This window comes from Homo sapiens, chromosome 11 (genome assembly GCF_000001405.40).
Source record: "Homo sapiens chromosome 11, GRCh38.p14 Primary Assembly".
Taxonomy (NCBI): Eukaryota; Metazoa; Chordata; class Mammalia; order Primates; family Hominidae; genus Homo; species Homo sapiens.
In genome coordinates, this window is record NC_000011.10 from 121,799,675 (window position 1) to 121,825,693 (window position 26,019).

The 26,019-nt window shown below is 38.5% G+C and overlaps 2 annotated features.

Moving 5' to 3' along the window:
* Positions 2,689-3,536: an enhancer, noted in NCBI's record as "H3K27ac hESC enhancer chr11:121673071-121673918 (GRCh37/hg19 assembly coordinates)". NCBI's record gives its function as "activates a minimal SCP1, AML or CMV promoter by ChIP-STARR-seq in primed H9 embryonic stem cells {active_cell/tissue: H9 hESC(primed)}" and the evidence as "EXISTENCE:reporter gene assay evidence [ECO:0000049][PMID:30033119]".
* Positions 24,407-24,978: an enhancer, noted in NCBI's record as "NANOG-H3K27ac-H3K4me1 hESC enhancer chr11:121694789-121695360 (GRCh37/hg19 assembly coordinates)". NCBI's record gives its function as "activates a minimal SCP1, AML or CMV promoter by ChIP-STARR-seq in primed H9 embryonic stem cells {active_cell/tissue: H9 hESC(primed)}" and the evidence as "EXISTENCE:reporter gene assay evidence [ECO:0000049][PMID:30033119]".

The following is a 26,019-nucleotide window of genomic DNA, read 5'->3' on the forward strand; positions in this document are numbered from 1 at the left end:
ATGGCAGAAGGCAGAAGGTGGAAGTGAGCATGTGAGACAGAGAGAAAAAAGGGGGTGAACTCTTGAGATAATGGCATTAAGCTATTTATAAGGGTGAAGCCCTCATGACTTAATCACCTCTTAGAGGTCCCACCTTCTAATACTGTCACAGTGGCAACTACATTTCAACATGAGTTTTGGATGGGACATTAAAACCATAACAATTACACTTGCTGGTTAACTTAGAATAATTTCTCCACTATCTTGAGTGAGATGCAGCCTGTATGTGAGCACAAGTAGGATGCATGGGTGCTTTCTGCTGCTGTGCCTATCACTAGGATTGTGAACTTTGGCAAGTCTTATGGGATTTCTAGGGTTAAAGACCCAAATGGTTAAAAAGTGAAGACAAACCTATGAAAAACACCTAAATTCTAAAAATTAACACCAATCCTAGCTGGAAGTAAACTAAGGAACTTGGCCATGGTAGACATGGCCAGGAGAAGAAGAAGGTCTCTAGAAAAGCACTTATAAGAGCACAAAGGGACAAATGGACAATAAGCCCTTTTTGCTACTCAAGGGCAACGCTTGACTGTTCAATGCCAAAGGCTGGGACAATCCTAAGGACAAGGATTAGATTTTAGCTTTCTGCAGCTACTTCAACAAATATACCAAAAAGGAACTGGGGAGATGAAAAAGAGAATTCTGTTCTCTAGGCAGACTGGCTAAGCATCATGTTTACACTTCTCCATTTCCCACCACTCCACATTGGCTCCATCCCTGTGATGCCACATTCCAGGGAGGGTTCCAAGGCCTCCTCCACTGCTTTCCATTTCCCCTTCTGAAAAAGTAAGATAAAGAAAGCAAGCAAAAATGATGGGAGACAGGAAAGGAGGAAGGAGGGATGAAAGCATGAAAAGATAGAAGGAAGGATGGAAGCAGGGAAGGAAGGAAGCATTTCTTCCCAGGCAGTAAGACATTTGAGTGATTTATGAAGCTTAACCCAGAGAAGGGAAAGTTGAGGGTTAAAAATCTAAGAAACGAGAATGCAAAACATCAAGACTCAATAGTGCCAAGAGGTTAGGTCTATTGAAAAGCCAAGGACATTTGGCTGAGTGTGTGGTGAGGGGAAGTGGTATTGAATTCAGGCATTTCAACTCTGCGACTTTGGGCGAACTTCAAAACAAATAGGCTAAAATCCTAGCTGTGGTGCAGAGCAGTGTTGTATGTCCGACAATCCCCAGGGTCTGCCCTTCCTCCCCCTCCCCTGAGTCCCCCGTGACCCCCCCTCCCAAACAGGGCTGTGAAGGAATGTAGGTGGAATCCGCTGAGGCTGGGGCTCTACCAGGGATAACAGAATTCACAGCCTGAGAGCAGGCCAGCCAGAGTAGCTTAGAAAGACAAAGGGTTTGCAATGTAGGAAAAATACTAAGCACCTTATTCTGGATTCTGTATCTGACCCCAAAACTTCAAAATGTTTTATTGTTTTCCCTTGAGTTTTCAGCTCTTCCTACATTATCTGCTTCCTCCTTTTAATTTGCTGAGCTCTGTTTCTCTACTCAGTGAGGAAGACAGGTGGGCTGGGGAGGCCGGGAGAGGGGAGAGAACTAAAGAAGCCGGAAGGAGCAACTCAACAACTCGACCTTCTTCAGCTGCATGAAAATAATTCCAGATTTGAAAAGGGCTTTGGCGAGATTCATTGTTGGGGCGGGGTGGGGGAGCTGTGACTTTGCCAAACCATCTTTTGTCATTCACTTCCCTCATACCTAGGTTTCTCAGTCACCCTGAGACCGACTACTCTTGAAAAGTTAAATCAGAAGGAAAACACAGTTTGGAAGAAGGTGTTTTACAAAAAAAAAGAAAAGAAGCTGCCTGATTTATGTGATCTGGCAAAAGGGAGGTTGCGTCATGAATCAAAAGCCAGTGTTCGGGAAACAAATGAGTGAGAATGAGGCAGGAAGGAAGAGGAAGGAAGAAGAAGGAAAGAAGAAAGAAAGGAAGGTAGGAAGAAGAAAAGGGAAGAAAAAACAGAGAAAGGAAAGGTGAATGCACCATAAATAAACCATAGTTTGAGTTCCTGGAGGATAAGTAAATGGGAAAAAGAAGTAGAAAGAACTAATACAAATGCATATTTAAAAATTATCCACCATTGTCTGTTAAAATTACTGTGCTCAGAACGAACAGCCTAACATAGACATGAACTTAAGAACTCACCTTTCAAAAATGGACAAGTTGGAAGTGTATAGCATTTAAAACAACAACACGCCCCTCACCCGCTCCCCCCCATTTGTTTATGCAGTGAGATCCCCCTGGGCTTGTGAGCCTCATATTCAAAGCAACAAGAAGTCAATAGTTGAACTGTGTCAATAAGAACAGATGAAAGCAACAGCCTCTGATTTAAATGAAAATAGGATACAGCGTGAACTATTGTTTGCTCCATGACTTCCTTCTAATTCAGTTATTATCTTGAACCCAACCCAATCTACCTTATAAAAGCATGAAACTCAACTCCCAGGCTGTTTTCACCCGGAAAAGCCTTTAAGCCCTTTCCCCTCCTACATGGTCGTGAACTACGCATTTGGAATACATATGATTGATATTTTAAAAAAACACTGAGGCATGCTTTATATAGCACACATATAACTGCAGATGCATTGTACCCCCTCCACAAACTCAGGAACCCACATATGTATACACCATGCAAACACAAATGAGCATACCTATGAAACGTCCAGAGCTCCCCAGGGAAAATGCTTTTACAGTATTCCAACCGGTCTGCAATTCGATGTGAATAAAAAGTAGAGGAGATGAAGAAATGAAGAAAAAAATCTGCCACTCAACTGAGTACCTACCACATGTGATGCATTGGGCCAAGTGCACCTTCATATTTAATATTGCAATTCATTTCATGTAATCGCTGCTTTTAGAATCATGTTTTAACACACTGCGCGATTGAAACAATGTTTTCTGGTAAACTGTCTTAGAGAGGCCATTTCTATTTGAAAAGCCAGCTGTGAGGGGCTGGAAGGCACACAGCTGCAGACAGCTGGAGGGCTGGTACTGTAACAGGATCCTTGGAGAAGTCAACTGTAGTTTGCAGGCCCTGAGGCCGCATGTGGGAAGGCTTGTCTGAGCAGGGGAGTCTGCTTCTGCCTTGGCTTGTCCAGGGGTCCTTTGCTTTTCTCATTTATCTGATGGAGCCCAACCAATGAATAGGGCTTCCAGAACCAAATTACTTAGGAACCAGAGCAAGCTTCACTGAATCTTCATTCTACCTTTTATTAAGATAATTTTTATATATGCACACACATACTCCATCTTTCCCACCCATTTGTAATTTTGTGATCTTATACTCCCTTGAGCCCCCTTGGCTTCCTGTGACTTGACGACTGCTTCTCAAGCCCTTTTGTGGGCTCCAGCGGAAATGAAGTAAAGCCCTTTGAAGCCAAAGAAGGTTCTGGGAGAGTGTTTGGCACCAGGTGAAGAGATCACTTTCCAATTGCCAGTGAAATATTTGCCTCAGGCATGGGAAGGGAATGAGGCTTGTTTCTTTACCTTCAGTTAGTTTTCATAGAGAAAAATAGTGGCTCAAGCTTTAAAAACATTGGCTGGTGATTTGGCTTCATGGGAATTCCCTCATCCTAAATAGATAAAATAATATAGCTACAGAAAGCTAATAGCCATTCTCAGCATGAATAGTACCGAATCTTTGCTTTTGGACTTTGTCATTGTGACTTATTGGGTAATAAAAAGCCCTTTTTAAAATGTGTCCTGGATAAGGACAACAAACGGGCATGGGCCCTTTTGGTCAATAAAGTCACCAGAGCTGGAGCTTGTCATTTGACTATGTGCCTTGGCCTGAGCCTTGGGTCTGCAGGCCCATCTCCTGCCACATAAGAAGTACCAGAAGAGCCAAAGTTTCTGCCACTCTCATCCTTCAAAGATGGCAGCACTGAACTCAATATCAAATATCAGCTGTTGGGGGAGAATTTTAGACCACAGACAGGAAATATGTCTAGGGGTTAGGGCCCCAGGAGATCAGCAGTAGGTCAGATAGTAGACTGAGATGGGGCAAACACAAAAAGGTTCAGGACAAAAGTTGAGAACCTGGCAAGAGTAAGAGAGAGCCTGTGCTCATTAGGACTTGGCCACATGGAAAGGTGCTGCATCCAACACAAGTTTCTATCTTCTACATCAAGGGAAATGGCCTATTGCCCAGAAAGTGGGGGGGGGGGGGGGTGGGGGATAGTAATGCTTTCTATTTGTATAACGCTTTGTAGTTTACAAAATCTTGCTGCATAAAACATCTCATTTGAACCGTTCAACAACCCCACAAGGTAAGCAGAACAGGTGGTATTGTTCAAATTTAATTGATATTGAAAATCAGGCTAAGAGAGATTAAGAGAGTTGCCTACAGTTATGAATGGCAGAGATAGACCTAGAACTTAGATCTTGTGATGCTCAGTTTGATGCCGTGTCTACTGTATCATATGACTTGATAATGATAACATCATGTATAGAGAATTAAAACACAAGTGAGGAATTGGAAGTAAGCCCCTGGCTATTTACAATGTCTCACTTCAGACTAGTTACATCCTAAAGTACCAAGAAAAATTACAGCTGAAAACAATAATCTGAAGACTAAAACAGCATTAAGGAATCAGGAAGTCTCAGGGAAATATTAGCAATAGACAATATTGTCCTATTTTCTTAAAGGGGAACAGTCTGCAAATGATAGATAGTAAATTTGGCATTGACATCTAGGACCCTTTAAAACAGATTATTAAATGTGTGATTCTCAAATAATCAAAAAAGAAGTTCCTGGCACTGGGACCAAGAATGGGTTCACTAGGAGCAGTTAATGTAGCTGTGAGCTGCTATCATTTTAATAGTTATTTGACTGGTAAATTAGGAAAATTGTTAGACACATAAATCTGAAACTTAGGGCATGTTTAGGATAAATCTGTTTTGATATTGTAGTCAAGAAAATAGGGAGATATAGGCCAGATTATAGAATTAGTTGCATTTGTACATGTTTAACAGGGGACCAAAAACTCAATAAGTACCGAGTACTTGGAGACTGGGAAACTCTGGAGAGAAAAAGCCTCCTTCTAAGGCTGATGGGGGCATCAGCTCAGGCCCGATGGGACAAGTCCAAGAGGTCTGAGGCAAAATTATGTGCAAGTTAGCACGTCTGATGGATCTGATCAAAGATCATTTCAAGGTTTCTGAATTATGGCTCTTCCATCATGTGAGAATTCAAGTTTTTAAATTAGAAACTTGAGCGAATGCCAGGAAACCAGGATGAAGGTCCAAACTCAGGAAGAAGGAGTCAGGGACTCCGGTGACCTCACACTGTGGCTGCAGTGTTGAGCCTGGGTTTTTGTCTCCACTGGCAAAGGCAGGGGCAGAGATTGTTAGATGGTCCAGTCTTGCTCCACACAAAGGGAATAGACAGTGCTCTTGACAACACTTCCTATTCATGTCCAGGCACTTGGACAACAGATATAGGGAGGAAACCACTGATATGCTGCTGGTCTGATGCTCATTGATTTTAGGAAAGGCCAGGGCTGATGTACACATATCTTGTGATCAGCAGTATAGCTGCAGAAGGCTCATGGACATGGAGGTGCCCACTCACTGCAGGCCCACTGTCAATGAGGGAGAGGACATTGCCCTGGAGTTGAACCAAGTGGTCTCTGAGGTTTTTTCCAAGAGTGATTTTCGCAAGGAATGGAAAGCCCATTTTAAGTCTTTCTAATACTATAGGTCAGCTATTAATCCGCAGCTTTTCATTCTAAATTCAGTTGAAAAGGTCCCATGTGCTATTTCCCATTTTCCATACTATGGGAGTAGCAGCTCATAGTTACAATAAATTAGGACAGAGTGGAGAAACCACTGGAAGCCTGGGTTCTAGCCATGATTTGCCACTCTGCTTTTTACATATCATTTAACCTCTTTGGGCCTTTGATTTCATTGATGAAAAAATAATTTCACTGTGAGATATTCTATACATGAAATATATTAATATATTCATGCACACACACATGTGCATACAAGATTAATACATCACATTTTACCTCATCCTCTAGCTTAAGGGAACATTACAAGAGTCTTCCATGACTTTTATCTGATTCTCCTGATCATTTTCTGTTTCCTTGTTCCTAAGTATAAGCACTCTCCAGTGCCTTTTGTATTTTTCATCTCCTTTGTTTTTGTTATAATTTTATTACCTATATATGTGTTCCTAAAAAATACATCACTAAATTCTGTATGTTTTGGAATTTACATGAATGATTTCAACTCTAGAGTTTTAGTTTTCTTACGGTAAATCGGAGATTTTAATTTTATTTTTAGGACTCTTTGCTTCTAAGCATTAGAAACTGATCTTGGGTTTATAAAGAAAGACATTCGCTAGAAGGATCTAGTGTTATTCAGACTCAGAGGAAGCACTCAACAACCAGACCTCAGGAAGGGCTGGATAAGGCAGCTCCTGGAATTTCAGTACCAGCAGTTGGTAAAATTTTCCAGCAATGCTACTATTGACTAAAGTAGCTCCAACAGGTTTTAGTCCCTTGTTTTTTTTCTTCAAAGTGCAACCTTGCTAGAAATCATTTATTTGGCTCAGTCTGGCCATGTGCTCTACCTTGCACTCAGGAGAAATGTGTCTCATGATTGGCAGCCCAGCCGATGTCCATGGAGCTAGAGGAGAGCATTCCCTCCAAGGAAGGGGTCCTGGGCTTGCTTTACCTCTCTCTGAGGGTTAGTATGAGGAGCCCATGAGACCATAAATGTGGAAATTCTTTTAAAAGTGTGAAGCACTGTACATATTCATTCATTTGTTAAATGACAAAAAATATTTTAAATGCCTGCACTGTGCTAGGTACCATGTTAGACGCTGGGGATACACAAATGACAAACTATACCCAAATATATAAATGAAAAACGTGGTAAAAGCAAGCAATTTATTGCTTGGTGATTTTGTCTATGTACTGCATAAAGCCCTGGACACAGACTACTTTTTTACTACACCCTAAAAAGGCAGTTATTATTATTCCAATTTTACAAATTGGTAGCCTAGATTGGAAGTCTGGAATCCTGACTCCAGGTTGAGTAGCCTTGCCTCCTGAGATGAGCTATAATACAGTCAGATATACAGGCTATGACAGAAGGACAATGATGGGGGCACTGAATACAAGCTTCATAGAAAAGGGACCTTTGAGGGTCCATGAGGCATTTACGAGGAGGCAAAACGATGGGAGGAGGTCCACCCCAGGCTGAGCGAAGAGCATGGGGATGGCAGGATTTATTGTGGGCATGTAGACCAAGGACAGGCAGTGTCCAACAGGGAGCTATTCTTTCCTCTACCCCTTCCTTTTCCAGGTTTATTTCTTATAGTTTAATCTCAAGGCATAGAAAACCTCTGCTGCAAATTTCAGTGTTTGTCTTTCCACTGAGGAATAATCCCATTCAAAGAAAAACCATTCTGGGTGGTAAGGAAGGTTGCTATTTATTTATTTAAGATGTGGGCAAACTCCTAATCAAAACTTCTACCATCATCTAAGCTGGCGTTCTTCCCAATGCGCTTTGTGAAAACTTTTGCCTAAGGCTTGCAGATTTGGTTTGCTATTTAAAATAATACAATTTGGCAATTGCTGAGGCTTTTTGTGCATCTGTTGTGTGTTTAAGTGGAACCTCATGGAAGATTGGAAACTCAGACCACAGAGGCAGCCTTAGAGCTACCTTCCATTGGATTCATGGTAGGAGTCCATCACTATTACCATTTTCAACATAGTGTTAATCACCATCATCATGATCATTGTTTTCAGCCACAGGGTCTGTAGACTTCAGTTGTTATTATGAGACCACAGAGTTATGATCTCTGAGCGAAAGCTGTTTGCAAGGTGTATTGATATGGTCAAACAGAAATAAGTTTGTATTTATGCAGAATACATAAAAGAAACCAGGAAACTCTGAAATCGAGTTAGGAGGTTCAACATTTATAGGAGTTTAATTTGCAAGAGGATTTAGATGGGGCTGTGGGAAGTGGTGCTAAGGAAGCAAACTAGCGTATTTGCATAATTTCTATCCTCACTTGAAATCCCATAGTTAATTTAAAAACTTATCTTTTAAGTATTTACCATTCAAATCTATCACCTCTAGAAGGAATAATGTATATCATAGTGCTTTGTACCTTATAAAGTCCTGGTGAATGGTTAGTGGTTCCCGCTTTTGTTTTGGGACCTACGGCTTGTGCTTGTTCTTTTCATGCTCCAGAAAACAAGCCTCAGAAATTTGATGACTGGGGTAGAATTGCTGAAGAAATTAACAGAAAAGGATGGAACTAAAATTCAGGTCTTACAACTTTCCACGCATTGAGTTTCACGTGAGATCTTCTCACCAATCTGTACCTTACTTTCACTTGTTGAATCCCCTTCACAGTATATAGGATTTCAGGTAGAAATATGATTGGCAGAATAGTTCCATTTGCAGGTCCTATTTATCACACTAGAATCTACCCCTCTGGAGACCTATTTTAAAATCATTTTGGATGTGATTTGAAAGAATGCCTCCCTATCTTGAAGCTCCAGGGATATGTCTCAAATGATCTTGATCATGACCTATGATTTTATATTATGCTGAGTAGGGTTTTTTGTCTTCACGATGATAAAGAAAGTGGAGAACATAGCACTCAGCCACTATTATCTCTATTAACCCAGGCAAAGCATTGACCTTTGATTGCTCCCCCGTTTCTTTCTATTGTCTCCACCAGTTGCATGTTCTTAGTGTTGTGCATAAATAAGTCTAATTAGGAACACAAGTTTCAGGCTATAGAAAAGCACTTAGCAGCTCTCCATGAATGCTGCGTTTAAACGAAATAGAATTACAATGCGGAGCAGTATTACAGTATCAGTTTCTCTCTCTTTCTCTGTCCTCCTCTCTCTGTTTCCCTCTTTGTGCCTCTGTGGCCTTCTTTTTTCCTCCACTTTCCAACTACAATGAATGTCTTGACTCAATATTCCTAACCAACATCTTGCCTGTTGGGTTTTTATCTCAACTCATTCTTTTTTCATAGTCTTTTCCTGTGCCTTACAGATAATGTGAAGCAGATATCTTCTAAAATGTACTCCTGCTTTCCATAGTAAATCATTTCCAGAGGCAAAGTCTTCTCTTTTGTTCTTCAGGATTTTTTCCCCCTCAGGTCCTATATTAATCCATTCATCCATCCAACCATCCATCCACCGACCAATCTTAAATAATGGTTTATCAAGAGCATATCTATTCAGGCCAAGTGTCAGCCAACACACAGGAAACATGATTTACACCCTGCACCCACCTCTCTCACTATTCAGGTTGGAGGATGGGGGAAAACTGTGTGCTCAGTTTTCTGCAGAATGCACATAGTATGCTTTCCATAAATGCAAAATTTGTGGACGCTACTATTGATGTCATCCTTTTCCTAAAGGCATATCCAGATGAAAGAAATTTTTAAAAAGTTATTCCTTGTCCTCTATTTAGGAGATTGATCTGTTAGGAAAATCATAAAACAATTTGGGATAGTGCATAAGATGCAATTAGATATCAAAAAAGACAGGTGCAGGCCTAAAAGGATATGCATATTTAGGGAAGGTTTGCATTAACCAAAGAAAGCTCATTACAGAATTAAACTGGGTTTTGAAAGATGGAAAATATTTGGATAATTAAAAAGGAGGATAAAGGATAATAATATGAAGAATTTACTACTTTCTAGACTGTTCTAAGTGCTTTTGTGTACATATTAACTCGTTTAATCATTTAGTTCTTACAGAAGCTTATAGGGTGGTACTATTAATATATTGCTTTTGTGGATAAGTAAATTGAAGAACAGAAAGGTTAAGTAACACAGCTAGGAATTGGCAATCAGAATTTGAACCCAGACAGACTTGCGGTAGGACATGTGCTCTTAACCATTGGACTCTTAAAAGTAGACCAGGTGGGTAAAATAGGAAAGGCTGGAAGGGAGAGGCCTGTGGAAGGAAGAATCAACCATGGGTACCTGAAGGATGGGATGTTAACATTCTTTATTTCACTAAAGAAATGAATCATTACAAAGATTAAATAAAATCTTGCTATTTACCTGGTTTTTCAAAGGAATATTTACTGGTTCTTGATAAGTTCAGCCCCAGGGAGCCACAACAATGGGTTAATTTTTTTCTTGGGCTAAATTTTATTTTTTTCCCTGGTAAAAAGAATATTTAATACAGAGCTCAGACCATATGATTTATTGCCTGTTTGAAAATCCTTTTCATCACTGTATGTTTTACCAGTAAATATTTAATCCTTGGCACCAAGTGCCACCCTGTTTATTAACTTTAGAGTTCATACTTTATAGTAAACTAAATTCTAAAATATCCTATGAAGAGAAAGACATTTCATCTACATAGTTCGCTGAGCAATTTTGCCAAAAGGAACCCCATATTATACGGCTTGGTCACATCACCCCTTTGATTATCGGAAAGCCTGATCACTAGAAAAGCAAACTTTCCTTCACAATAATGTCTATATTATGTTACACTTGCTGTGGATTCCCAAGTTTTCATCCCAAACAATTGTCTTGTGCCCAAAGACACGACCAGAATAAATGGCCTGGCTAGAGGCTTCACGCTTTTGCATGGGTGGCCCCCTCTGACTGACGATTCTGTTTTCCTGTCTTTGAGGCTATGGTTTCAAAAATTTAAAACCACCAGACCCAGAAAAGATAAATCTCTCTCAGTTTGCTTCAGAAAATCTAAACTCAATAATATCCACGTTGGTGGCTTCTGGAGAGAGTTACTCATCTGTCTCTCAGAAATGGGCCTTTTGGATCTCACTGACTCACTCTGGGACTGCTAGAGTTTTGCTCTAAGGCAGGGTTCTGAATCAGTGCTTGCCGAGTTTCCTCTTACTGCTCCAGCACATACTCTTCATTTTATTTGTTTTATTTCTCCTCTCTTTTTTTTTCACTTTCATTTTAGGTTCAGGGGTTCATGTGCAGGTTTGTTATATGGGTAAATAAATTGCATGTTGTGAGGATTTGGTGTACACATTATTTTGTCACCCGGGCAATCAGCATAGTACTCGTTTTTCCATCCTCACCCTCCTCCCACCCTCCACCCTCAAGTAGGCACTGGTGTCTGTTGTTGCCTTCTTTGTGTCCATATGTACTCAATGTTTAGCTCCCACTTCTAAGTGAGAACATGTGGTATTTGGTTTTCTGTTCCTGTGTTAGTTTGCTTAGAATAATGGCCTCCAGCTCCACTGATGTTGCTGCAAAGGACATAATCTTATTCTTTTTTATGGCCGCACAGTATTCTATGGTTTATATGAACCACATTTGCTTTATCCAGTCCACCACTGATGGGCATTCAGGATGTTTCCATGTCTTTGCTGTTGTAAATAGTGCTGTGATGAACATATGAATGCATGTGACTTTGCTGTAGAACGATTTATATTTCTTTGGGTATGAGCCTAATAATGGGACTGCTAGGTTAAATGGTAATTGTGTTTTAAGTTCTTTGAGAAATCACCAAACTGCTTTCTGCAATAGCTGAACTAATTTACATTCCCACCAGCGTGTATTCAGTGTTCTTTTTTCTCTTCAATCTTACCATCATCTGTTAATTTTTGACTTTTTAATAATACCCATTCTGGTTGGTGTGAGATTGTATATCTCATTGTGGTTTTGATTTGCATTTTTCTAATAATTAGTGATGTTGGGCATTTTTTCATATGCTTATTGGCCATGTTATGCCTTCTGTAGAAAAGTGTCTCTTCATGTCCTTTGCCCACTTTTTAATACAACTGTTCTTTGCTTATAAATCTGTAAGTTACTTACATATTCTGGATATTAGACCTTTGTTGGATGCATGGTTTGTAAAAATTTTCTCCCATTCTGTCGGTTGTCTGTTTACTCTGTTGATAGTTTCTTTTGTTGGGCAGAAGGTCTTAAGTTTAATTAGATCCCATTTGTCAATTTTGTTTTTGTTTCAATTGTTTTTGGTGTCTTGGGCATGAAATTTTGGCCAGATCTTATGTCCAGAATGGTATTTCCTAGGTTATTGTCCAGGGTTTTTATAGTTTTAGGTGTTACATTTAAACCTTTAATCCATCTTGGGTTGATTTTTATATGTGGTGTAAGGAAGGCGTCCAGTTTCAATTGTCTGCAGATGGCTAGCCAGTTATCCCAGGAACATTTATTGAATAAGGAGTCCTTTCCCCATTGCTAGTTTTTTGTTGATTTTGTCTCAGGTCAGATGGTTATAGATATGCAGCATTATTTCTCAGCTCTCTATTCTGTTCCACTGGTGTGTGTGTGTGTGTGTGTGTGTGTGTGTGTTTACCGGTACCATGCTGTTTTGGTTACTGTAGCCTTATAATATAGTTTGAAGTCAAGTAATGTAATGTCTCCAGCTTTGTTCTTTTTGCTTAGGATTGCCTTGGCCATTCAGGGTCTTTTTTGGTTTCATCTGAATTTTAGAATATTTTTTTCTAATTCTGTGAAGAATGTCATTGGTAGTTTGATAGGAATAGCATTGAATCTGTAAATTGCTTTGAGCGGTATGGCCATTTTAACAATATTGATTTTTCCTATCTATGAACATGGAATGTTTTTCCATTTGTTTGTGTAATCTCTGATTTCTTTGAGCAGTGTTTCATAATTCTCTTTGTAGAGATCTTTTACCTCCTTGGCTATCTGTATTCCTAGGCATTTTATTCTTTTTGTGGCTACTGTGAAGAAAATTAGGTTCTTGATTTGGCCCTTAGCGTGAATACTGTTGGTGTATAGAAATACTACTGATTTTTGTACATTGATTTTGTATCCCGAAACTTTACTAAAGTTGTTTATCAGATAAAGGAGCTTTTGGGCAGAGACTATGAGGTTTTCTAGGCAGAGAATCATATCATCTGCAAACAGGTATAGTTTGACTTCCTCTTCCTGTTTGGATGCCTTTTATTTATTTCCCTGGACTAATTGCTCTGGCTAGGACTTTCAGTATTATGTGGAATAGGAGTGGTGAGAGAGAACCTGCTTGTCTTGTTCCAGTTTTCAAGGGGAATGCTTCCAGCTTTTGCCCATCCAGTATGATGCTGCCTGTGGGTTTTTCATAGATGGCTCTTACTATTTTGAAGTATGCTTCTTTAATGCCTAGTTTGTTGAAGGTTTTTAATATGAAGGGATGTTGAATTTTATTGAAAGCCTTTTCTGGGTCTATTGGGATGATCATATGGTTTTTGTTTTTAGTTCTGTTTATGTGGTGAATTGCATGTATTGATTTGTGTATGTTGAACCAACCTTGCATTCCAGGGATAAAGCCTACTTGATGTTGGTGGATTAGCTTTTTGATGTGCTGCTGGATTTGGTTTGCTAGTATTCTTTTGTATACTCTGCACTTTAAAGCACACCCTATACCTTCCTATATTCTCTTCCTGCCATTCACTTTGGAGGAAATTCGTTTCCTTACCCACTTATTTCCTCAGTTATTAAAATTATATCCATTCTTAAAAGTCCAATTCCAATGACCATTATTTTACTCCAAGTGTAATATGGAGTTCATTTTTCTTTTTTTCTTTTCTTTTCTTTTTTTTTTTTTGAGATGGAGTCTTGCTTTGTCGCCCAGGCTGGAGTGCAGTGGCGCGATCTCGGCTCACTGCAAGCTCTGCCTCCCGGGTTCACATGCCATTCTCCTGCCTCAGCCTCCCGAGTAGCTGGGACTACAGGTGCCCACCACCACGCCTGGCTAATTTTTTTTTGTATTTTTAGTAGAGACAGGGTTTCACTGTGTTAGCCAGGATGGTCTCGATCTCCTGACCTCGTGATCTGCCCATCTCGGCCTCCCAAAGTGCTGGGATTACAGGCATGAGCCACCACACCTGGCCTGGAGTTCATTTTTCATGAAATTTTCCCTGATTCTAAGAAGTTAAATATACAATTCTATAGAAGTATCTTAATTCTTAACATATCATCACTTTCACTGACTTATTTATTTTTCAATGTCAATGTTTCTCATTTTTTGTGTTTACTAGAAACCTTAAATTGTGTCAGTTGTTGAAATGGGGAAGATTTCAGGAAATTGGAGAAAGATCAAAGCTATTAAAGACACTGCAATTAAAGTGAAGTAAAACGAATGAGAAATAAATATAAAAATAACTATTCATCGTTTGATTTAATTTTAGTTTTTTACATTTAGTAAACGTTTGTAAAAAGGGGATTTACAAAGAGTGTTTTGTGTGTGCCTGGTAATGTGTGTGATAGCATGCTGTAAACAATAAAGCATGTTATAAATGATCATTATTAATATTATTGTGTATAGCAGAAGCTCTTTTAACATGCGTCTGTTTAATTGACTTGCCAGATTAGTGAATGTTTTTCATTCCCTCTAAGACATTCTAACTAATGCCCTTAGCAGAGCAAGTACTTATAACTAGCAGGCTACTTTCTAGTAAGCCTGTACAATTATGCTCAGAAAAAATTGTATGCTTACTGAGAGAGCCAGTTGAGTTTATTCCAAAACCTGTTTATTCTAGTTGTACTTGAAATTATAATTGTAAATTTTAATTTGCTAATATATAAAGCAATAGAATATGATTGTGAAAAGATGTTTGCTGTTTATTTGAAAACAAACTTGAAATATTTTTGAAGGACTCAGTAAAGATGGATTACTTTACAAAGCTGCTGTTGATTTTATAGTTATGAGACCACTACAAAAATGTTGACAAAAAATCTAAAAATCTAGAATTCTGCACTTAGCTTTTTTTTTTTTTTTCCATGTAGCTTTCTTTATAAATGACTTGAAGTTCTGGCTTCACTTTAAAGAAACAAAAACCAGAGATCATGGGTGATGCTTGAAAGTGTATTGTTTATACAGTAAGAACTAAGCAGAACTCTGATCAGAAGAGTCAAAGAAAAAATTGTGGCCTTATTATTATAAGACTAGTAAATAAATTTACATTTCTATTTGATATAGTTAAAATTAAAATCTATAGTACTTTGTTATAAGTCCCCATCCACATATCCTCATTTTAAGTGGCTTTTTGTTTATCTATGAAACCTTAGGTTTCTGCTAGAACATGTTTCTGGTTAACTATCTCAGTGCTGGATGGTACTTGGTGCTAATGAGGCTAACCCTGTCTGATACTTTCCAGGCAATGACTCCTTAGATATGGGATGATCTGGGCACTGGTTGGAGACAACATCAAACTTACTAACTTAGGATCTAAGAAGAAAAAAAAAAAAGACTGTCCCCCTCGTGCAATAGCCCTCTTTATGTTCTAGCATGGTCTGACTCCTTAGGCCTAGTCTAGATAAAAAACACAAATGGGAGCTTTGGCAGTCTGGGGTGGCACTGAAGCCTGCAAGCCCAGATGTTAAATTAAATCAGGTGAGACATTGACCCAGGATGATTGAAGGCTCTGGAACTGGAAGGAAAATGTGAATCATATTTGAAGGGAGAATCAAAAGGTCATGTCCAGGGAAGCTGTGCCAAATGTTGAGTCTAAGAGCTAAATGAAGTTGTAAATGGAAAGGTGAGTCAAAAGCACAAAACTCGCATGGCTTGGAGCAGGATGAGATGAGAAGTTTTATATGAAATTAGTCATGGAGAAGGCTGTGATCAGTGTAGGAGTTTTAGGAACCTAATTTTTTTCAGTGGTCAATTTTGGCTTACAAACCAGTTAGGTGGGGAGAAACTAGGGGAAGTTTAAACTTAGAATCTTTTTGGGTTTCACTTATATATATAATACTTCAATATATGTAACCAATTTATTGACAAACTGCATTTTGTTGGATATATAAAGTTGAAACATTTTACTTTCTTTATCTCTGCCCCCATGTCATGTTGAGTTCACTTTTCATCCCGGATAGTGGCTCACTTAATGATAGCTTGGCTTGGTTGTAGAAATTCTATTGCTGTTAGTTATTTAAGTGGTTTTATATTGGTTTCTAAGATCCAGTACTTTCAACTTAAAACTTTCATCTCATATTACATTCAAAGTAGTGCTTCTCTCCTCCACCAATACTGGGGTTTTATTGTCTTGTAGTGAGGATCTGTGTTGTGTGGACTGGCTCTCAGAGAGTTCTACACAGTTCTTCCTGCAAGTAATTTCTTAGATGTTAGGACAGAAGAAAGGAAAAAAACAAAAAAGAAAAATGAACACTTTCTTCATGACTGAGCCATGTTGCAGTCTTGCCCTTGGATGGTCATGATGGCTGCTCTTGCTCATTGTCCATGAACTCCAAGTACGTGAATAGTTGCTAAACATGCCTTGCAGACGAGGAACTCTTAATCTAGAGGAGTAAGTCATTGGTGACGTCTTAGAAGATTCAGCTGCATCTTCCTGCTGACTCCCAGGAGATGGCATCACACTTTGCTTCTCCTATATTCCCCTCTCACCTTGCTGTGTCAGTTCTGGGGAGGCTGTAGCTCTTAATCTTCTCAACTCATGTCTAGTTCCAGCCACAGAATGAAATATCAGCCTCTCCATCTTGCTGATACCCTCAAACTTTATAAAGTGATTTGTTCTCAGTTAAGGGGCAAGAGAAGTTCCCTAAGATGAGGCAAGGGATAGCTCTTTTTCACAAGCCCTGCAATGCCCTAGACAATTTTTTTTCATCAAGCTTTCTTCTCATATTGGCAGGGCTGAACAGGAGTACCAGTTTTTAGTAGGGGTAGTCCTCTGAATTGGTACTTTTCAGTAGCCTTGAGAGTGAAAATTCCCTGAATTACGAAATGAGATGTGGGTGCTGACTGTGGTAGCTCACGCCTGTAATCCCAGCACTTTGGGAGGCCGAAGCGGGTGGATCACCTAAGGTCAGGAGTTTGAGACCAGCCTGGCCAATATGGTGAAACCCTGTCTCTACTAAAAATACAAAAATTAGCTGGGTATGGTGGCAGGCAGCTGTAATCCCAGCTACTTGGGAGGCTGAGGCAGGAGAAATGCTTGAACCCGGGAGGCAGAGGTTGCAGTGAGCTGAGATCACACCATTGCACTCCAGCCTGAGCGAGAAGAGCAAAACTCCGTCTCAAAAAAAAAAAAAAAAAAAAAAAAAAAAAAAAGTGAGGTGCTTGGTTCTTTTGTTTATCTTCAGCTTTAAGTCTTAGATAGGAAAAAAAAAAAACCTTGATTTCTCTGATGCATGCTTTGTGGCAGTGATTTTGAATTGTTTTCCTTTTCCATCCTTGCCATTGGTGAGGTAAAGGACTTTCTTAGCTCCAGGTAATTTCTTGGTTCCAGATTATCCAGAGAATCCTGGGCCATACATACTTCAAATGAAGTGCACTAACCTCATCTGAGAATAAGCAAATATCAGTTGCTCAGCATAGACCAATTTATTGGGCATTTTTGAATGCAATTTAGTACAATTTTATTGCTTTCCTACTGTATGTAAGTGCTGCAGAGTGAGAAACAAGATTCATGGTCTCAAGATGCAAAGTATTCTAGGCAGGTGGAAATCACTCTTTACATATATATAATGTAGTGTTTTGGGAAAAGTAATTTGGATACATATTCAGGAGAATTATCTTTTGCCAGGACGTGCCAAAAATTGTGAGGCTGTATGAGTTTTAACAAGCTGCATCAGTTCTCTGGGGCTCAAGTTCTTCGTTTGTAATACAGAGTGTTGGGCAAGGTGATTTCCAGGGATGCAGCTCTAATATTCCTTAATAATATGAACTATAGAAACCTATTTCCCCTTGCTCATGTTGTCTTGCATTAAGGTACCCTCCCTGCTTCCTTTTTGTTTTAAAATTTTCTTCTGAAAGATATGTAATTCAAAAAAGATTAAGAATCTCTGCACTTTACATTCTCTCTGAGCAGTGGAAAGAAAAGATGTCCTGGAAATATACTGGAGTATGTTACATGTCTAGATAATTGAGGATAATTGAAATCTTAACAATATTAAGTCTTCTAATCCATGAACATAATATACATCTTCATTGTTTAGGACTCCTTTCACAGTGTTTTTAAGTTTTCAGCATACAGAGTAAGCACATTTTTTTTTTTAAAAACACCGATACTTAAGTATAATACAATATTTATTTTTGGTGCTTTTGTAAATTATATTTTGAAAATATTCAATTTCAAAGTATTCATTACTAATATGTAGAAATAAAATTGATTTTTTTTGTATATTGACCTGCAACTTTGCTAAACTCACATATTAATTCTAGTCGTTCTTTCATATTGTCCATGAATAGAGGTAATTTTGTTTCTTCCTTTCAATTTGCTTATCTTTTATTTATTTTTCCTGCCTTATTGCACTGACTGGGACCTTCAGTAGGATGTTGAGTAGAAATGTTGAGAGAAAACATCCTTGCCTTGCTCCCAAACTTAGTGGAGCCTTCAGTCTTTTCATCATTAAGAATCATGCTACCTGCAGATTTTCTTGGTAGATGCCTATTATAAGACTAAGGAAGTTTCCTTCTATTTGTAGTTTGTTGAGAGCGTGTTTTTTTTTTTTTTTAAATCATGAATGCATGTTGAATTTGGTTAAGTGACTTTTGTACTTATATTAAGATAATCATATTCATTTTCCTTTAGTCTGTTGATATAATGAATTACATTTATTTATATTTAAATAGTGAGGAACCTTGCCTTTCTAAGTCTATTATGATGATTTTAAAAAATGTACTGCTGTTTTTTATTTCTTAATATTTTGTTAAGAATTTTTGCAAATTGTTGGTGAGATCTTTTGTACCATAATTTTTTTTCTTGTAATGTCTTTGTTTTGTCTTGGTGTTAGGGTAATACTGGCCTTATAAAATGAGTTGAGGAATATTCTCTTCAGTTTTTTGTTTGGATGAACATGTGTAGAATTTACAGTTATTCTTTAAGCTACTGAATTTTATATACAGAAAATATCTCTTGTGAATGTTGAAAATGTCATTTCTTTTTCTTGTTTTATTGCATTGGTTCAGTATTCCAGAAATATGTTAAATATTAGTACACTGCTTTATCTGTTTAATGAGGGTGCCTCCAGTATTTTACTATTAAATGTGCTGAAATATAATATTGGCTTGATATTCTCTATTACGTCAAAGAATTATTAAATTCCACTTTGCAAAGTTTTGTTTCTATCATGAATAGATTTAGAATTTTATCAAATTGCTTTCCAGCATTTATTTTTTAACAGCTTTATTGAGATATAGTTCACACACATACTATTTACTTATTTAAAGTGTAGAACTCAACCTAGTTTTTTGTGTATTTACAGGATTATACAGCTATTACTGCAATCTAATTTTAAACTTTTTCACCACCCCAAAAAGTGACACCAAGCTCATTTATTATCACTCCCCATTTCCACCTGCCTCTATCTCCTGGAAACTGCTAATGTACTTTGTGTTCCTATATATTTGCCTATTGTGAACATTTTGTATTTTTTTGTGAATATCTGGAGTTTTTTACTTAGCACGATATTTTCAAAGTTCATTTATGTTGCAGTATGTATCGGTATTTCAATTCTTTTTATGCTCAAATTATATTTTATTATTTGGATATACTACTTTTTTTAACTGTCACTTGATGGACATGCAGGTTGTTTCTGCTTTTTGGTTATGCTGCTGTGAACATGTCATTGTGTGGACATATGTTTTCATTTCTCTTGGGTATACATCTAGAAACGGAATTGCTTGGTCATATGGTAACTCTATGTTTGTTTAACATATTGAAGGATTTCCAGACCAAAGCGTCTGCCTCATTTTAATTCTCCTCAGCAGGATGAGAGTTCCAATTTCATTCACATTTTTATTTGTCTTTCTGATTATAACCACCCAAGTGGGTGTGTAGTTGTATGGTTTTGATTTCTATTTCTTAATGACTAATGATATTGAACATCTTTTTAGATACTTATTGACAATTTGTTTATCTTCTTTGGAGAAATGCCTATTCAGATGCTTTGCCAATTTTTCAATTGGATTGTTTATTTTTTATTATTGAGCTTTAAGGGTTCCTTATTCTAGATACTCATCCTTTATTAGACATACTTTTTGCAAATATTTGCTCATTCTATGGGGTGTCTTTTCACTTTCCTGATGGTTTCACTTGCAGCATGAAAGTTTGTAATTTTGATGATGTCCAACTTACCTGTCTTTTTCTTTTATTGTTGGTGATTTTGACGGTGTTATGTCTAAAAAAATCCTTGCCTAATCCAAGGTCATGAAGATTTACTTCTATGGTTTTCTTTTTCCTAAGAGTTACATAGTTTCAACTCTTACATTCATTTTGAACTAATTTTGTGTATGATTTGAGGAAGGGACCTAATTCATTCTTTTGCATGTAGACATTTATTTTTTCCAGCACTATTTGTTAAGAAGACTATTGGACTATTTTTTCCCTCATTGAATTGTATTGTATTGGATCCCTTGTCTAAAATCAACTGATCACAACTGTAAGGGTTTATTTTTGGGTTTTAAATTTTATTGCATTGATCAATCTGCTTATCCTTATGCTAATACCACACTGTCTTGATCACTATAGCTTTGTAGTAACCTCTGAAGTTTAAGAAGTGTTGGCCTTCCAACTTTGTTTCTTTTTTTCAAGATTCTTTTAACTTTGTTTCTTTTCTTCAAGATTCTTTTGGCTATTCTGGGTCTTCAAAAATTATTGATGTAATAAATTATACAAATGGATGTCCTGTCAATCCATCATCATTATTGAAACCATAGAGAAAACACTGAAATACTTGACTACAAACTTATGTATGTAACAAAGTATTATAAATCAATCTACAAGGCAAAGTATAAAAATATTTGTAAATATGTTAAAGGCACTGGGTCAATATATGTAATTTGTAAAGTATTGTAATATATTAATAGAAACATGATATATGTTTAAATTTAGAAATAGCAGAGAACAGATAATTTATAAGAGAAATGTGAATGACCAATAAGCTTAGACAAAAAGTTTGTCATGATAGTAAAAGAAATTAGAATTAAAACAATATAATATCTTTCACCCCTTTTAAAATTTATGTATTTTTTACTTTTCCATTAAGCAACTGTATGTATCTTTTTTGGTGACAACAGTCAATGTTATCATCGTTGAAACAAACACTCAGGTCATGTGGCTGGAGAGTATATATTTATTGGACGGTAATTTAGCAGTACTTGTCAACAGCCGTATATGCTTATACTCTTTGATGAACTAACAAATACAACATGGTATTAGTTATTATGATGAAAAATTGGAAAATATAATGGATGATGATAAGTAATAAGTAAGTATAGTTTAGCTGTATAATGAGATATCTTGGGGACATTAAAAATAAAGAATTAGAGTCAAATTTACAAGACAAAATGTTCTTGAGTTATATGCACATATGTAACTTGTAGTATTTGGTTGCATTTTCCTCCATTCATTACCTTAAATCATATTTTATCAGATCTGGAGGAAGTCCTCATAAACTGGGGCTAGAAGTCAGCTAAAACCATATAAAAAATTAAATTCAATTGGTTGTATTTTAAAATATCCTTAAAGTTGTATGGTCCTAGTAATATTGAATAATGCACAATCTCATCACACCCAAAGCTTTTTTGGTTCTAGATTATACAGACCAATCAATAAAAAAATCTTTTTTTTTTTTTTTTTTGCATTTACACTAATGAGTTTATTTTTTTTTATTTTATTTTTTTTATTTTTTTTTTATTATACTCTAAGTTTTAGGGTACATGTGCACATTGTGCAGGTTAGTTACATGTGCCATGCTGGTGCGCTGCACCCACTAACGTGTCATCTAGCATTAGGTATATCTCCCAATGCTATCCCTCCCCCCTCCCCCGACCCCACCACAGTCCCCAGAGTGTGATATTCCCCTTCCTGTGTCCATGTGATCTCATTGTTCAATTCCCACCTATGAGTGAGAATATGCGGTGTTTGGTTTTTTGTTCTTGCGATAGTTTACTGAGAATGATGGTTTCCAATTTCATCCATGTCCCTACAAAGGACATGAACTCATCATTTTTTATGGCTGCATAGTATTCCATGGTGTATATGTGCCACATTTTCTTAATCCAGTCTATCATTGTTGGACATTTGGGTTGGTTCCAAGTCTTTGCTATTGTGAATAGTGCCGCAATAAACATACGTGTGCATGTGTCTTTATAGCAGCATGATTTATAGTCCTTTGGGTATATACCCAGTAATGGGATGGCTGGGTCAAATGGTATTTCTAGTTCTAGATCCCTGAGGAATCGCCACACTGACTTCCACAAGGGTTAAACTAGTTTACAGTCCCACCAACAGTGTAAAAGTGTTCCTATTTCTCCACATCCTCTCCAGCACCTGTTGTTTCCTGACTTTTTAATGATTGCCATTCTAACTGGTGTGAGATGATATCTCATAGTGGTTTTGATTTGCATTTCTCTGATGGCCAGTGATGATGAGCATTTCTTCATGTGTTTTTTGGCTGCATAAATGTCTTCTTTTGAGAAGTGTCTGTTCATGTCCTTCGCCCACTTTTTGATGGGGTTGTTTGTTTTTTTCTTGTAAATTTGTTTGAGTTCATTGTAGATTCTGGATATTAGCCCTTTGTCAGATGAGTAGGTTGCGAAAATTTTCTCCCATGTTGTAGGTTGCCTGTTCACTCTGATGGTAGTTTCTTTTGCTGTGCAGAAGCTCTTTAGTTTAATTAGATCCCATTTGTCAATTTTGGCTTTTGTTGCCATTGCTTTTGGTGTTTTGGACATGAAGTCCTTGCCCACGCCTATGTCCTGAATGGTAATGCCTAGGTTTTCTTCTAGGGTTTTTATGGTTTTAGGTCTAACGTTTAAATCTTTAATCCATCTTGAATTGATTTTTGTATAAGGTGTAAGGAAGGGATCCAGTTTCAGCTTTCTACATATGGCTAGCCAGTTTTCCCAGCACCATTTGTTAAATAGGGATTCCTTTCCCCATTGCTTGTTTTTCTCAGGTTTGTCAAAGATCAGATAGTTGTAGATATGCGGCATTATTTCTGAGGGCTCTGTTCTGTTCCATTGATCTATATCTCTGTTTTGGTACCAGTACCATGCTGTTTTGGTTACTGTAGCCTTGTAGTATAGTTTGAAGTCAGGTAGTGTGATGCCTCCAGCTTTGTTCTTTTGGCTTAGGATTGACTTGGCGATGCGGGCTCTTTTTTGGTTCCATATGAACTTTAAAGTAGTTTTTTCCAATTCTGTGAAGAAAGTCATTGGTAGCTTGATGGGGATGCCATTGAATCTGTAAATTACCTTGGGCAGTATGGCCATTTTCACGATATTGATTCTTCCTACCCATGAGCATGGAATGTTCTTCCATTTGTTTGTGTCCTCTTTTATTTCCTTGAGCAGCGGTTTGTAGTTCTCCTTGAAGAGGTCCTTCGCATCCCTTGTAAGTTGGATTCCTAGGTATTTTATTCTCTTTGAAGCAATTGTGAATGGGAGTTCACTCATGATTTGGCTCTCTGTTTGTCTGTTGTTGGTGTATAAGAATGCTTGTGATTTTTGTACATTGATTTTGTATCCTGAGACTTTGCTGAAGTTGCTTATCAGCTTAAGGAGATTTTGGGCTGAGACGATGGGGTTTTCTAGATAAACAATCATGTCGTCTGCAAACAGGGACAATTTGACTTCCTCTTTTCCTAATTGAATACCCTTTATTTCCTTCTCCTGCCTGATTGCCCTGGCCAGAACTTCCAACACTATGTTGAATAGGAGCGGTGAGAGAGGGCATCCCTGTCTTGTGCCAGTTTTCAAAGGGAATGCTTCCAGTTTTTGCCCATTCAGTCTGATATTGGCTGTGGGTTTGTCATAGATAGCTCTTATTATTTTGAAATACGTCCCATCAATACCTAATTTATTGAGAGTTTTTAGCATGAAGGGTTGTTGAATTTTGTCAAAGGCTTTTTCTGCATCTATTGAGATAATCATGTGGTTTTTGTCTTTGGCTCTGTTTATATGCTGGATTACATTTATTGATTTGCGTATATTGAACCAGCCTTGCATCCCAGGGATGAAGCCCACTTGATCATGGTGGATAAGCTTTTTGATGTGCTGCTGGATTCGGTTTGCCAGTATTTTATTGAGGATTTTTGCATCAATGTTCATCAAGGATATTGGTCTAAAATTCTCTTTTTTGGTTGTGTCTCTGCCCGGCTTTGGTATCAGAATGATGCTGGCCTCATAAAATGAGTTAGGGAGGATTCCCTCTTTTTCTATTGATTGGAATAGTTTCAGGCCAGTGTGTGTGCGCACCGTGCGCGAGCCGAAGCAGGGCGAGGCATTGCCTCACCTGGGAAGCGCAAGGGGTCAGGGAGTTCCCTTTCCGAGTCAAAGAAAGGGGTGATGGACGCACCTGGAAAATCGGGTCACTCCCACCCGAATATTGCGCTTTTCAGACCGGCTTAAGAAATGGCGCACCACGAGACGATATCCCACACCTGGCTCAGAGGGTCCTACGCCCACGGAATCTCGCTGATTGCTAGCACAGCAGTCTGAGATCAAACTGCAAGGTGGCAACGAGGCTGGGGGAGGGGCGCCCGCCATTGCCCAGGCTTGCTTAGGTAAACAAAGCAGCCGGGAAGCTCGAACTGGGTGGAGCCCACCACAGCTCAAGGAGGCCTGCCTGTCTCTGTAGGCTCCACCTCTGGGGGCAGGGCACAGACAAACAAAAAGACAGCAGTAACCTCTGCAGACTTAAGTGTCCCTGTCTGACAGCTTTGAAGAGAGCAGTGGTTCTCCCAGCACGCAGCTGGAGATCTGAGAACGGGCAGACTGCCTCCTCAAGTGGGTCCCTGACCCCTGACTCCCGAGCAGCCTAACTGGGAGGCACCCCCCAGCAGGGGCACACTGACACCTCACACAGCAGGGTATTCCAACAGACCTGCAGCTGAGGGTCCTGTCTGTTAGAAGGAAAACTAACAACCAGAAAGGACATCTACACCGAAAACCCATCTGTACATCACCATCATCAAAGACCAAAAGTAGATAAAACCACAAAGATGGGGAAAAAACAGAACAGAAAAACTGGAAACTCTAAAACGCAGAGCGCCTCTCCTCCTCCAAAGGAACGCAGATCCTCACCAGCAACAGAACAAAGCTGGATGGAGAATGATTTTGACGAGCTGAGAGAAGAAGGCTTCAGATGATCAAATTACTCTGAGCTACGGGAGGACATTCAAACCAAAGGCAAAGAAGTTGAAAACTTTGAAAAAAATTTAGAAGAATGTATAACTAGAATAACCAATACAGAGAAGTGCTTAAAGGAGCTGATGGAGCTGAAAACCAAGGCTCGAGAACTACGTGAAGAATGCAGAAGCCTCAGGAGCCGATGCGATCAACTGGAAGAAAGGGTATCAGCAATGGAAGATGAAATGAATGAAATGAAGCGAGAAGGGAAGTTTAGAGAAAAAAGAATAAAAAGAAATGAGCAAAGCCTCCAAGAAATATGGGACTATGTGAAAAGACCAAATCTACGTCTGATTGGTGTACCTGAAAGTGATGTGGAGAATGGAACCAAGTTGGAAAACACTCTGCAGGATATTATCCAGGAGAACTTCCCCAATCTAGCAAGGCAGGCCAACGTTCAGATTCAGGAAATACAGAGAACGCCACAAAGATACTCCTCGAGAAGAGCAACTCCAAGACACATAATTGTCAGATTCACCAAAGTTGAAATGAAGGAAAAAATGTTAAGGGCAGCCAGAGAGAAAGGTCGGGTTACCCTCAAAGGAAAGCCCATCAGACTAACAGCGGATCTCTCGGCAGAAACCCTATAAGCCAGAAGAGAGTGGGGGCCAATATTCAACATTCTTAAAGAAAAGAATTTTCAACCCAGAATTTCATATCCAGCCAAACTAAGCTTCATAAGTGAAGGAGAAATAAAATACTTTATAGACAAGCAAATGCTGAGAGATTTTGTCACCACCAGGCCTGCCCTAAAAGAGCTCCTGAAGGAAGCGCTAAACATGGACAGGAACAACCGGTACCAGCCGCTGCAAAATCATGCCAAAATGTAAAGACCATCGAGACTAGGAAGAAACTGCATCAACTAATGAGCAAAATCACCAGCTAA